Source organism: Homo sapiens, chromosome 2 (assembly GCF_000001405.40).
Source record: "Homo sapiens chromosome 2, GRCh38.p14 Primary Assembly".
In the NCBI taxonomy this organism is placed as follows: Eukaryota; Metazoa; Chordata; class Mammalia; order Primates; family Hominidae; genus Homo; species Homo sapiens.
The window spans coordinates 183104497-183119663 of record NC_000002.12 but is presented as its reverse complement, the minus strand read 5'-3'; the positions used below and the strand labels follow the sequence as shown (position 1 = coordinate 183119663).

Genomic DNA, 15167 nt, shown 5'->3' with positions numbered 1-15167 from the left:
CCTCATCCTAACCTTTTGCTCCAATCAATTCTCTCATTATTCCCTGTTGAAAACCCTCATTCTCTTGTGAACAGCTCTTCACATTGTATTTCTTGCTCACATCAACCCTCTGCCTAGCATCCCTTAGCTTTCCACCCCAATTTGCAAAGTCTTGTGTTTCTTTCAAGTAGCAGCTCAAGCCTCTTTCTGTCATGTAAACCTGCCCCAGCCATGCCAACTCTGATTCGTCTTATCTCTTCACCTCACTTTGCTGTAAGATACTTGTTTTGTAAGTTTTCTTTTCAGCCCCACTAGATGGATTTTCTTGAGGCCAGGGACCATAACTTTTCCTATTTTGTATTTCCATTATTTTTCAATTAAATGTATGTTGAAAAATAAATGGTTACAGTAGGTAGCTATTCAGGCATAAACAGAGCAAGAGAAGGTGCCCCCTACCCCAACCAGGAATGTCAGGCGGTTGTTAAACTCTCTCTCTAAAATAATTGATTGCAGCCAGTGCCAGGAAAAGGCAGTTTCCCAGTAGATAGAAACACCTAAAACTGGTGATCGGCAGCTTCCCGATAAGATCCAAGGAGTTGGGAAAGTGGGCTCAAGCATGCATATTAAGAGGCAAAATGGAGGAGTTTAACTGGTATCTGACCTCCTAAGGACATTCAGCTGGTAAGGGAAGAACACTTCCAGTGAGCATGCGTACAACTCCAGTAAACACATTGCGCATGCTTACCTCCAAAGTGCTAACAGGCCTCTCACTCCAAGGGAGGAATCAAGGGAAAAGGGATGCAAGATGCCAGAAGTATGCCAACATGTAAAACCCTACGTCCAAGGTCAAATGGGGCACTTGTCCTCCAAGATGCCCGCTTGGCCCTCTTCCAAGTGTACTTTACTTTCTTTTCATTCCTCCTCTCAAGTTTTTCAACAAACCTTCACTCCTGCTCTAAAACTTGTCTTGGTCTCTTCTGCCTTATGCCCCTTAGTCAGATTCTCTCCTGAGGACACAAGAATTGTTGTTGCAGACCCGTATGGATTTGCCGCTGACAACATATTTTGGTGCTGTGTAATTTGGATTCCCACCACTGACAACAAAATGATTAAACATTAATTACAAGCTGTAAATAAACATTAAACAAAGGATAATTATCTGACATAACTTATTTAATGCAATTTTGCATGTTTGCCAATTTTAAAAATCATAACTGCACATTAGTTATATTAAGTGCTTATTATAAAATGAAGACCTGTTTATAGTTCTAATTACCCTTTTTTGTGTAAAATGAGATCTTCAAAATGTGGATTATCTTGAATGAGAAACATTTGTACTTTTTTTATTTCTTGTTAAACTGCAATTTTAGAAATACTGCATGTTCACTATATTCCTCTGTAGATGAATATTATCTTGATTACAATACTTTTTTCTCTACCTTCTATTCTGAACGCACTAAATAAACTGTCAAATGGAACCTGTTTCCTATTTCTGTTCTGAATTCCTTCCTCCCAGGACATCAGATTTCATCATAGTGCTATTTTTGTAGACCATTGATTATCAAACTTAGGTGGGGAGCCCTTTCTTCAACAAAGGATGGTGCAGATGCTTAATAAATACAACTGCCCAGTTGGGAGGGGAGGAACAGAAAGAGTACAAGGGTTCTTGCCCCCTAAACTGCCAAGTATCGCAACTCCAGGTGACTCTTGAAATACTTGGTTTGGAGTACCTAGGGCTACAGAGAGCTCAACCTGAAAATTAGCTCTGAGCTATATTTCAACTTTCTTCTAAACTCAAATTTTGAAAAAGTCAGAAATATGTAAAATCTCACATTTTAAAAATTTTTCAATAAGTTTAATATATCCACACCAAACTGCTTGTATATCTATCATATATACTGAATATTCATCAACCTATTTATAAGTGTCCAACAATATGCAGTGTTTGTATATAAATACAAAATCAACTTGTTACTCTTAAAAGCCCACTCTCAGTCTATTCTATAAAACAAAAACAAATAATTTTTTAAAATTGAAGTGAAGAAAAAAGATTTCCACCTTTAGTAAGACTTTAGAAAAAAGATGGAGTTTGTCATCTTCAGAAAGAGAGCAAGGGGAGAGAGCATCTTATCACTCATGCTCTCACCGTCTCAGCCTTCAGCACCTGGTGTAGCATGGGCTACCCCTCACTTAATGATGTCACATAAAGCACACAGAGGAACCATGACTTCCTGGATACCAAGGACAAGTGATCTCCAAAGACCCTTTGTGATGTTTACAATGTAGAGATCTGGCTGGGCATGGTGACTCACGCCTGTGATCCCAGCACTTTGGGAGGCTGAAGCAGGAGGATTGCTTGAGCTCAGGAGTTTAACATCAGCCTGGGCCACACAGTGAGACCTCGTCTTTAAAAAAATCAGACATCATCTTTAAAAAAATACAAATTTGGCTGGGCACAGTGGCTCATGCCTGTAATCCCAGAAATTTGGGAGGCCGAAGCGGGTGGATCACCGGAGGTCAGGAGTTCGAGACCAGCCTGGCCAACATGTTGAAACCCCGTCTCTACTAAAAAAGTACAAAAATTAGCTGGGTGTGGTGGCAGGCACCTGTAATGCCAGCTACTCGGGAGGCTGAGGCAAGAGAATCGCTTGAACCCAGCAGGTGGAGGTTGCAGTGAGTCAAGATCATGCAATTGCACTCCAGCCTGGGCAACAGGAGTGAAACTCTGTCTCAAAAAAAAAAAATACAAATTTACTCTTGTTATTTGCATTATCTGACCTCTATAAACAATCATGACCAAAGCCATGTCTTTATACATTTAAAAATAAAATATTACATGTGAAAATGCATGAAGTTTTTCTGATCATTTTACTATAGTAAACAACTGGCAGAAAGGAAGTAGCTAAACTTCAAAAGAAACATCAGTTTACTTCATTCACCTGTTGTCGTTAAATCAATTAAATGATTCCTTTCACCTGCAGGAAGTGAAAAAACTAACTTTAAAACTTACATAACTTTCAGGTGTAATTTTATTTCCTGCTCTTCTATTTGAACTATCAGGTAGTTTGATCAGATGTTTAAAAGAGGAAGTTCATAGCAGGCAAAATTGACAACTTTGAATAAAAAATGCTATGGATTTTAGGAAGAGCTATATCAAGGATTTGCCTTGAAATAATTTGCTAGGGTAGGGAGGGCAGAAAGAGAGGAGGGATGATGTCTAGGGGTATACATTAAACCAGAAAAGCCATGAGTCAATAAATGTTGATGGTAACAAATTATGCTATTCTTTGTTTTTCTTTTTCTTTTTTCAGAGTGCTAGAACTCAATGCTATTGTCTATAATTTTGTGTATGTTTGTTATTTTCCCTAATTAAATTCTTTTTTAAAAAAAACATCAATAAGCCTAAATTCTAGAGTGTTCAAAAGTCATACATTCTGTCTCAGCTTATGTGAAAAATGAGAGAAAAAAAATCAATGAAAAACGCTGGGCATGGTGGCCTCAGCCTATAATCCTAGCCACTCAGAAGGGTGAGGCAAGAGGATCACTTGAGGCCAGGAGTTTGAGACCAGCCTGGGCAACTTCTGGGGACCCAAGAAATAAAAATAAAAAATTTTGCCAGGCATAGTGATGCACGCATGTAGTCCCAGCTACTTGGGAGGCTAAGGTAGGAGGATAACTTGAGCCCAGGAAGTTTGAGGCTGCAGTGAGCTATGATCACACTACTGCACTCCAATCTGGGTGATAGAATGAGACCCTGTCTCTTCAAAAAACAAAAAACGAAAAAAGGAAAACATGAATCTTTCCTTGCTTGATAATGCCTTTGTTTAGAGAATCAGCGTGTTGTTGACTACAGGTGCAAATCTTGACTTCAAATACTTAATAGACATGTGACATTAACATCTCTAAGACTCTGTTTTAAAAATCTGAATAGTGTGAATAATTTTACCTACCTCATGTAATACATTGACTTATTTACCCAGCAATAGATATATATTAAATATAATATATTCAACAATTGAATTTTAGCCTAATGGTCTTATCTGTCATTCAGCATACGATGTAGCCTTTGATAAACTAATTTGGCTTCTTCCCCCATTAATCTGCCAAACAAGTCTTTCCAAAGTCACCAAAGACCTCTGATATGTTTTGGATCTGTGTCCCCACCCAAATCTTATATTGAAATATAATCCACAGTGTTGGAGGTGGGGTCTGGTGGGAGGTGATTGGATCATGGGGGTGGATTTCTCATGAATGGTTTAGCACCATCCCTCCTGGTACTGTCTTTGAGATAGTGAGTTCTCATGAGATATGGTTGTTTAAAAGTGTGTAGCATGTCCCACCTCACTCTCTTGTTCCTGCTTTCACCATGTGAAGCACCTGCTCCTGTTCTCCCCTCCACCATGAGTAAAAAGCTTCCTGGGGCCTTCCCAGAAGCAAATACCACTATACTTTCTATACAGCCTGCAGAACTATGAGCTAATTAAACCTCTTTTCTTATAAATTACCCAGTCTTGGGTATTTGTTTATAGCAATGCAAGAACAGACTAATACAACCACCATGAGGCTAAATCCAATACATTTTAGGTTCTAACCTTTTGTAACTTCTCAGTGTGAGTTCTTGAACACTCTCTTTGTAGCCTTCAGTTTCTCTGGCAATATACTCTCTTGAGTTCCCTCCTGCCTCTCTCACCATATGACCATGTCTTTTCTTGACTCATCCTCCTCTACCTAGCCACTAAAAATTGTTCCCATAGCCAGGTGCCAGTGACTCACACCTATAATTCTAACATTTTGGGAGGCTGAGGCAGGAAGATCGCTTGAGCCCAGGAGTTCGAGACCAGCCTGGGCAACATAGCAAGACCCTGTCTCTATAAAAATAGTAATAATAATAATAAAATTGTCCCCCAAGGCTTTATCTTATGATCTGGCCTTGCCCTACACTCTTTCCTCATATGTTGTCATCCATGCACATTGCCTACAATGACTCTCAATTCATATCGCCAGCCCAGATCATTCTGTGTGGTACAAATTTATGTATCCAATTACCTACTTGACATATCTATTTGACTTGGATATCTCAAAGGTACTTCAAAATCAAATTTAAAAAGCCAAACTCATGGTCTTTTGTATAAAACTTGAATATTTATCTCAGGGAATGGCACCACCAGCCATCTAGTTATTAAAGCATGAAACCATGGATGGTGTTGAAAACCTCTCTTTCCAACACAAATTCAATGCCAAGTCCTGTGAATTCTACCTCCTAAATACCATTTAAATGCATCCATTTTTTTTTCAATTTTTACTGCTTCAGCAAAATCTCAGTTTCATCACCTGAGACCTGGACCTAGCTTCCTTAATGATCTTGCTTTCCCTCCCTAATCCACTCTCCACAGTGCAGTCAGACTGATCTTTTTAAAGTAATATTCTGCATAAGTTTCTCTCCTGCTTAAAACTTTTCCATTTTGCTGGGTGCAATGAGTCACACCTGTAATCCTAACAGTTTGGGAGGCTGAAGTGGGATTGCTACAGGTAGTCCCACCTGCTTGGGTGGCTAAGACAGGAGGATTGCTTGAGCCCGGGAAGTTGAGGCTGCAGTGAGCCCTGATCATGCCACTGCACTCCAGCCTGGGTGACAGAGCGAGATCCTATCTCAAAACTTTTCAGTTTCTTTCACTGTTTAAAAGGCCAAAATCCTAGAGCTTCCTACAAGCCCCTGCTTGATGTAGCCTAACAGTCCAGCCTCATCTGACACCACCTTATCACTTCTGGTTCACTGCTCCAGCCATTCAGCCCTCTTTCCATCACTCCAATGTGTCATGCTCCTTCCCAACCCTGGGTCTTTACCTATTCTCCTCCCTCAGTTTTGGAAGACCTGCAACAACCCACTCTCCCTCACTTAGTCAACGCCTACTTATCTTTTCTAACCGATGGTAAATGTCACTCAAAAGTCAGGAAAGCCTTCCCTCATAACTAGATGAGGTTACTGTTTGAGTTATATATTTCTGTACTTTAAAAAATAATCCATATCTTCCCTCCCAACTAGATTATAAGCTCCATGAAGTCAAGGACTTGTGTTTTTTTCATTAAGCCTTTTAAAAACTTTATTTTTGAGATATTTATAGATTCACCAGCAGTTGTAAAAAACAATGCAGAGAAATCTCATGGCCCCTTACCCAGTTTCTCCCAATGATTACATCTTGCAAAACTAAAGTACAATGTCATAACCAGGATATTGAACAGTGATACATCAAGTTAAAGGACATTATTATTACCATGTTGCCCTTTTATAACCCCACCAACTTCCCTCTCCTGCCACCATTTCCTTAATTCCTGAAAATCACTATTCTGTTCTCCATTTCTATAATTTTGTCATGTCAAGAATGTTATAGTAGTGGAATCATACAGTATGTAACATTTTGGGGATTGACTTTTTTACTCAGCATAATTCTTTGTAGATTCATTCGGCTTGACGCACACACATCATTAGTTTGTTCCTCTTTATTACTGAATGGTATTCCATGGCATGGATGCATCACACTTTAGACAGCCATTCACCCATTGAAGAACATCTGGGTTGTTTCCAGTTCTGCCTATTACAAATAAACTGTCTATAAACATTCATGTACACGTTTTTGTATTAATATATATAATCATTTATCTGGGGAAAATGCCCAGGGGTATAGTTGCTGGGTCACACAGTAGTTGTGTATTTAGCTTTTTTAAAAACTGCCAAAATCTTTTCCAGAGTAGCCGTACCATTTTACACTTCCACCAATAACATATAAGTGATTCCATTTCTCTATATCCTTGCCAACATTTGGTGTGTCATTATCTCTTAGCCATTCTGGTGGGTATGTAGTGATATCTCATTGTGGTTTTAACTTGCACTTCCCCAGTAGCTATGATGTCGAACATTTTATTATGTGCTTATTTGTCATCTGTATATCCTCTTCAGTAAAGTGTCTCTTCATACATTTTGTCCATTTCCTAATTGGGTTGATTTTTTTTCTGACTGTTGAATTTTGAGAATTTTTTAAATATATTCTAGATGCTAATCTTTTGTCAAATACACGGTTTGCAAATATGTTCTTCCATTTTTCATCTTCTTAACAAGGTCCTTCAAATAGCAAAGTTTTTAATTTTGATGAGGTCCAATTTATAAATTTCCAATTTATAAATTTTTGCTTTTGTGGGTCACAAGTTTGGTGTCAAGTCTAAGGACATTTTGACTAGCCCTGGAACCCAGTGATTTTCCTTCTTTTTTTTTTTTTTTTTTTTTTTGAGATGGAGTCTCACCCTGTTGCCCAGGCTGGAGTACAGTGGTGCAATCTTGGCTCACTGCAACCTCCATCTCCCGGGTTCACACCATTCTCCTGTCTCAGCCTCCCGAGTAGCTGGGACTACCAGCACCTGCCACCACGCCAGCTAATTTTTTTGTATTTTTTTTTAGTAGAGACAGGGTTTCACTGTGTTAGCCAGGATGGTCTCTATCTCCTGACCTTGTGATTGATCTCCTTGGCCTCCCAAAGTGCTGGGATTACAGGCATGAGCCACCGCACCTGGCCAATTTTCTTTGATTTTCTCCTAAAAGTGTTTTAGTTTTCCTTTTAAGTCTATACTCCATTTTTGGTTAATTTTTGTTGAAGGTATGGGATTACATAGAATTTCTTTCTTTTTTTTTTTTTTTGGCCTATGGAAATACAGATGTCCAATTGCTCCAGCATCATTTGTTAAAAAGGCTACCTTTCCTTCATTGAATTGCTTTTGCACCTTTGTCAAAGATCACTTGAACATATTTATATGGGTCTACTTCTGGATTTTTTTGTTCTGTTCCATTGATTTAAGTGTCTGTCTCTTTGCCAATACTACACAGTCCTGTTTACTGTAGCTATATAACCAGTCTTGAAACCAGATTACTTTATTCTTCTTTTTCAAAATTGTTGTAGCTATTTTTGTTTCTTGCCTTTCCGTATACATTTTAGAATAATCTTGTCTGTATCTGTAAAAAGTCTTGCTGAGGTTTTCATAGGAATTTGATTAAAGCTGTGTATCAATTTGAGGTAAATTGATACCTTTACTACACTTAATTTTTCAATACATTAACAATTTTCTACATTTATTTAGATCTCTCTTTATTTCTTCATTAGCATTCTATAGCTTTTGGCATATAAGTTCTGTACATGTTATATTAAATTTACACCTAAATATTTCTTCACTTTTTTTTTTTAATTTTTTTTTGAGATGGAGTCTCACTCTGGCTAGAGTACAATGGCACAATCTTGGCTCACTGCAACCTCTGCTTCCCGGGTTCAAGCGATTCTCCTGCCTCAGCCACCAGAGTAGCCGGGATTATAGGTGCCCACCACCATTCCCAGCTAATTTTTATATTTTTAGTAGACATGGGTTTTCACCATATTGTCCAGGCTGGTCTCGAACTCCTGACTTCAGGTAATCTGCCTGCCTTGGCCTCCCAAAGTGCTGAGATTGCAGGCCTGAGCCAACGCGCTCGGCCTCTTCACTTTTGTTTTTTTGAGTGAGTGTAAATCATATTGTATTTTTAATCTTAGTGGTTGTGTTTGCTGCTAGCATGTGGAAGTACAATTGCATTCAGTTTTTTTGTAAATTCTTTGGAATTTTTTATGTAAACAACTATGCAGTCTGCAAAAGGAACTCTTTTATTTCTTCCTATCTGATCTGTTGCCTTTTATTTCCTTGTTTTGATTTATTACACTGGCTAGGAGTTGCAGCAATATGTTGAAGAAGAGCAGTGAGAACACACATCCTTGCTTTGTTCCTGATCTTAGGAGAAAAGCATTTAGTCTTTCACCATTAAATATAATATTATCTATAAGGTTTATTTTATTTTGTTTTTTATTTTTATTTATTTTTTTTTTTGACATGGAGTCTCACTCTGTTGCCCAGGCTGGAGTGCAGTGGCACAGTCTCGGCTCACTGCAACCTCCATTTCCCGGATTCAAGCAATTCTCATGCCTTAGCCTCCCGAGTAGCTGGGATTACAGATGCCTGCCACCACACCTGGCTAATTTTTTGTATTTTCAGTAGAGACGGGGTTTCACCATGTTGCCCAGGCTGGTCTCAAACTCCTGACCTCGTGATCCACCCGCCTTGGCCTCCCAAAGTGCTGGTATTACAGGCGTGAGCCACCGTGCCCGGCTATTTTTATTTTTTGAGATGGAGTCTTGCTCTGTTACCCAGGTTGGAGTGCAGTGGTAGGATCTTGGCTCCCTGCAACCTCCAACTTCTGGGTTCAAGAGATTCTCCTGCCTCAGCCTCCCAAGTAGCTGGGACTACATGTGCGTGCCACCATGCCTGGCTAATTTTTGTATTTTTCGTAGAGACGGGGTTTCACCATATTGGCCAGGCTGGTCTCGAACTCCTGACCTCAGGTGATCCACCTGTCTCTGCCTCCCAAAGTGCTGGGATTACAGGCGTGAGCCACTGTCTGCAGCTATAGAGGTTTTTTGTAAATGCTTTTTATCAAGTTGAGAAAGTTTCCTCTCTATTCTTATTTTTCTGAGAGTGATGAATTGGTGTTGAAGCTTGTCAAATGTTTTTTTCGGTATTAATTTACATGATTATGTGATTTTTCTTCTTTTCCCTATTAATATGGTTAATTATACTGATTTATTTTCAATAGTTGAGACAACCTTGCATCTCTGACATAATCCACTTGGTCATGCTACGTCATTCTTTTTATAAATAGCTGAGTTTTTTAAAAAGCTGTCTCCTACAGGAAGGAAGAGCTAAATTCTTTTTTCTAATATTTTGTTAAGGACTTTTGTATCTGTATTGAAGAGTGATCTTGGCTGTATTCTTTCTTTGCCTGTTTTGGGTATCAGGCTAATACTAACTTCATAAAACGAAATGGAAATCGTTTCCTCCTCTTCTGTTTTCTGGAAGGGATTGAGTAGATTTGGTGTTGCTCTAGGTACTACACTATATATACATAACTGATCACACTCTACTACTGTTATTTTAACTATTTCAAATAAAATATGGAAACTTTTATGCCCTTTTATCCTTCCCCATTTGCAATATAATTGTTTTAGATATTTCCTCTACATACAGATAAAAACACATCAGACTGTTACCATTATGGTTTAAACCCTCAAACTTAATGTAGTAACTCAAGGTGACATGGAAAGCTTATTCTATTCAGTCATATTTTGTTTGCAAAGTTATTTCTTGTTCCAAGAATTTTTTTCCTATATCATTTTGTCTCTGTTTAGAGAACTTCTTTTAAGCTATTATTTTAGAACAGGTCTGCCGGCCACAGCTTTTCTTCATTTTCCTTCATATAATAATGTCTTGAGGACAGGCACAATAGCTCACAACTATAATCCCACCACTTTGGGAGGCTGAGGCAGGCTGATCACTTGAGTCCAGGAGTTCGAGACCGGACTGGGTAACATGGTGAAACCCTGTCTCAACAACAACAACAAAATACAAAAAATTAGCTGGATATGGTGGCACATACCTGTTGTCCCAGATACTTGGAGGCTGAGGCAGGAGGATTGCTTGAACCTGGGAGGCAGAGGTTGCAGTGAACTGAGATCATGCCACTGCACTCCAGCCTGGGCAACAGACATCCTATCTAGAAGAAAAAAAAAAAAACAAAAAACCAAAAAGCAAGAATGTCTTGATTGATTTTCCCTTAATTCCTAAAGACTATTTTTTCTGGTTGTAGGATAAACATTTGAAAAATATGATGCCACTTCCCTTTGGCCTCCATGTCTTCTGATAAGAAATCCACTGTCATTCAAATTGTTTTATACAGACAGGGCCAGGCGCAGGGCTCACGCCCGTAATCCCAACACTTTGGGAGGCCGAGGAGGGTGGATCACCTGAGGTCAGGAGTTCAAGACCAGCCTGGCCAACATGGTGAAACCCCATCTCTACTAAAAATACAAAAAGTTAGCTGGGTGTGGTGGCAGGCGCCTGTAATCCCAGCTACTCAGGAGCCTAAGACAGGAGAGTCACCTGAACCTGAGAAGCAGAGGTTGCAGTGAGCTGAGATCGTGTCATTGCACTCCAGCCTGGGCAAAAAGAGTGAAACTCCATCTCAAAAAAAAAGAAAAAAAAAAAAAAGAGTCTGCAGTATCAAAGAGCCACATACTTCAGCTTGCGGTGGCGGACAAGGTATAGCTGTTCTTATTTGCTGAAAGAGAAAAGACCACAGAATTGAATACCAGTGATTTCCCGTTTTCTTAACTCTACTGAAAAGGTAATTTACTTTTTTTTAAGGAAAGCTTTTATGACTCTTCATTTTTCTATAATTAATGAGAATTGTAGTATATATTATTACTTATTGAAAGAGAGTCTTTGTTATTATAAGAATATGGTTTATGTTGTGAGAAAACATCATTCCTGAGCTACCCATGATATAGAAATCTACTTCAACTTTTAAAAAAACTGAGTGCCTACTATTAAGCCACATTATCTCATTTAATCTTTAAAAGTACTCTATGAAATATCTTTTTTTTTTTTTTTTTTTTTTTTTGAGACGGAGTCTCGCTCTGTCGCCCAGGCTGGAGTGCAGTGGCTCGATCTCGGTTCACTGCAAGCTCCGCCTCCTGGGTTCACGCCATTCTCTCGCCTCAGCCTCCCGAGTAGCTGGGACTACAGGCGCCCGCCACCTCGCCCGGCTAATTTTTTGTATTTTTAGTAGAGACGGGGTGTCACCGTGTTAGCCAGGATGGTCTTGATCTCCTGACCTCATGATCCGCCCGCCTCGGCCTCCCAAAGTGCTGGGATTACAGGCATGAGCCACCGCACCCGGCCTGAAATATCTTAAAAAGTTAATTTGCCCAAGTAAGCAGTGAAGTCAAAATTTAAATTGACAATCTGACTTTGGAGCTTAGACTCTTATTTCAGAAAATATTCCATTTCTTTTTATAAAAGCTGTATATAAACAAATCTCTTGTGGTGAGACATTAACTGTTTTGATTTACTCCTTACAGTCATAAAACTGCATTAGCAATAATTACAACTACAGTTGACCCTTGAACAACATGGGATTAAACTGTGTGGGTCCACTTACATGCAGATTTTCTTCCACTTCTGCCACCCTGAGGCAGCAAGTCAGCTCCTCTGCTCCCTCCTTCTCCTCAGCCTACTCTCCACAAAGATGATAAAGAAGACCTTTATATGATCCACTTCCACTTAATTAATAGTAAGTATATTTTCTCTTCCTTATGATTTTCTTCATCATTTTTGTTTTGTTCTTGGGTTTTTGTTTGTTTTGAGGCAGGGTCTCACCCTGTCACCCAGGTTGGAGTGCAGTGGCATGATCATAGCTCACTGTACCCTCAACTTCCTGGGCTGTAGTGATCCTCCTACCTTATCCTCCCAAGTATCTGGGACCACAGGCATTTGCCACCATGCCTGGCTAATTTTTTGTATTTTTAGTAGATATGAGGCTTCATCATTTTGCCCAGGCTGGTCTCAAACTCCTGAGCTCAAGTGATCTGCCCACCTCAGGCTCCCAAACTGCTAGGATTACAAGCATGGGCCACCATGCCCAACCTATGATTTTCTTAATAACATTTTTTCTCTATCTTACTTTATTGTAAGATTATGGAATACATATAACATACACAATATATGTGTTATTTTTGTATGTGCCTGGTGGTATATACCTACAGTCCCAGATTCTTGGAAGGCTGAGACAGGAGGATTGCTTGAGCTCTGGAGTTTGAGTCTAGCCTGAGCAACATAGCAAGACCCCATGCCCTGGAAGAAAAAAGTTATACATGGATTTCCTACTGTGGAAGGAAGGGTTGGCTCCTCCAACACCCACCTTGTTCAAGGGACAACTCTTATTAAGTAAATTCACACATTTGATAGAAGAACTGAATTGTGGAAAGAGGAGAATGAGACTTTAGAGAATGCAAGCAATTAAACAGACTTCCTATCCTACTAGAATGATATTCAAGTAGAATGATACTCAAGTGGAAAGAGTGAAGGCAAGTTGCATTATTGGTGTTCTTTACTTTTAACTTTGAAGGATTTATCACTGTATAGATAACAAGCATCAACAAAATCAGATTTGTATGCAGTATTCTTACATTAAATACCATTTGTATTGATAGTTAGATTCTCAATAAATATTTCTACAGTATTAATTGCTATAGGAAGATGGTGAAATAGAACTCTCTAGCAATCATCCCCACTACAGAAACACCAAATTGAACAACTATCTACACAAGAAAACACTTTATAAAAAACAAAAGTCAGGTGTGCTATCAAAGTACCTAGTTTTAACATCATATCAGGGAAAGAGGCACTGGAAAGGGTAGGAAAGACAGTCTTGAATTGCTGATACCACTTCTCCCCCATCCCTTGGCAGTGGCCGTGTCACCTCAAGAGAGAATGTGTGTGCTTGGGGAAGAGAGAGCACAATGACTGTGGAACTTTGCATTGGAACTCAGTGCTGCTCTGTTACAGCAGAAAGCAACATAGGGCAGGATTCAGTTAGTGCCCACCAAGAGACACTTCCCATCTGGCTAGGGCTGGTCTAGCCAGATGGGAAGTGTCCAACCCACTGGTCAGAACCTGAGTTTCAGCTAGCCCCACCACCATGGGCTAAAGTGCTATGGGGTCCTAAATAAACTTGGAAGACCATCCAGGGCGTAAGGACTATGATTCCAGGGCAAGTCCTGGTGCTGTCCTGGGCTCGAAACCAGTAGAATTAGGGTGGTGCTACATAGTGAGACACCAGCTGGGGCTGTCAAGAGAATACTTGCATCACCTATCCTTTAACCCTAAGCAGTGCAGCTCATAGCTTCAAGAGATTCCTTCCTTCTACTTGAGGAGAGGAGAGGGGAGAGTAAACAGGACATTGTCTTGCAACTTAGATGCCAGCTCAGCCACAGTAAAATAGGGCACCAAGCAGAGTCCTGATGCTCCCATTTCAGGACCTAGCTCCTAGACATTTCCAGACACACTCTGGGTCAGAAGGAAACCAACTTCCTTGAAAGGAAGAACCCAGTCGTGGAAGGATTTATCACCTGCTGACTAACAAGCCCTTGGGCCTTGAATAAACATCAGTGGTACCAAGGCAGTAATCACCATGGGACTTGGGTGGAAACCCAGGGCCATGCTGGCTTCAGGAATGACACAGCACATTCCCAGCTGTGGTGGCCATGGAGAGAGACTCCTTCTGCTTAAGGAAAGAAGAGGAAAGCATAAAGGGGACTGTGTCTTGCAGCTTGGGTACCAGCATGGCCACAGTTGGGTAGAGCGCAAAGTGAACTCCTAACATTCCTGATTCCAGGCCTTGGCTCCTGGATAGCATTTCTGGGCCCACCCTGGGCAATAGGAGAGCCCACTGCCCTAAAGGGAGAGAGTCAGGCCTGGCAGCATTCACCACAAGCTGACTGAAGAGCCCCTGGGCTTTGAGTGAACTGCCTGGTAGTAGCCAGGCAGTACTCACTGTGGGCCTGGAGCAGTGGTGGTCATGAGGAGCGACTACTTCTGCATGAGCAAAGGAGAGGTAATAGTAGGAAGGTGATGATATGGTTTGACTTTGTGTCCCCAACCAAATCTCATCTTGAATTGTAATCCCATAATCCCCATGTGTCGCATGAGGGACCCAGTGGGAGGTAATTGAATCACAGGGGCGGTTTTCCCCCATACTGTTCTCATAATAGTGAGTGAGTTCTCATGAGATCCGATGGTTTTATAAGGGGCTTCCGCTTCGCTTGGTATTCATTCATTTCTCTCCTACCACCATGTGAAGAGGTGTTTTCCGCCATGGTTTTAAGTTTCCTGAGGCCTCGCATGCAGAACTGTGAGTCAATTAAACTTCTTTTCTTTAAATATTACCCAGTCTTGGGCAGTTCTTTATGGCAATGTGAGAACAGACTAATACAGAAGAACTGTGTCCCATGGTTTGGCTGCCAGCTCAGCCACAGTAGAAACACCCTCCACCTATAAAGACTCTCATAGACTGAAAGTAAAGGAATGGAAAGATATTCCATGCAAATCAAAACCAAAAAAGAGCATGAGTAGTGGCTATATTTATATCCGACAAAATAGATTCCAAGATAAAATATATAAAAAGAGACAAAGTTACCACATAATGATAAAGGAGTCAATTCAACAAGAGGATATTACAATCATAAGTGTATATGTACCCAACACTGGAGCACCCAGATACATGAAAC

General features: G+C 40.2%; 1 protein-coding gene across 5 annotated transcripts in view; it reads right to left on the bottom strand.

Annotated features, from left to right (window-relative positions):
* The window catches only part of NUP35 (nucleoporin 35), a 44167-nt gene extending 42017 nt beyond the window's left edge, over positions 1-2150 (bottom strand). For 2 of the 5 annotated variants that reach the window (XM_011510576.4, XM_047443270.1), the window contains exons 1-2: positions 2038-2150; positions 922-1073 (exon numbers count right to left, since the gene is read on the bottom strand). The gene's annotated coding sequence lies outside the window, so the exon portion shown is untranslated. Of the gene's footprint in view, positions 1-724; positions 1074-2037 lie in introns of all 5 variants that reach the window. The other 3 variants (NM_001287584.2, XM_006712254.4, XM_011510577.3) reach the window with 2 other exon arrangements.
* Between the last annotated feature and the right edge of the window lie 13017 nt (positions 2151-15167).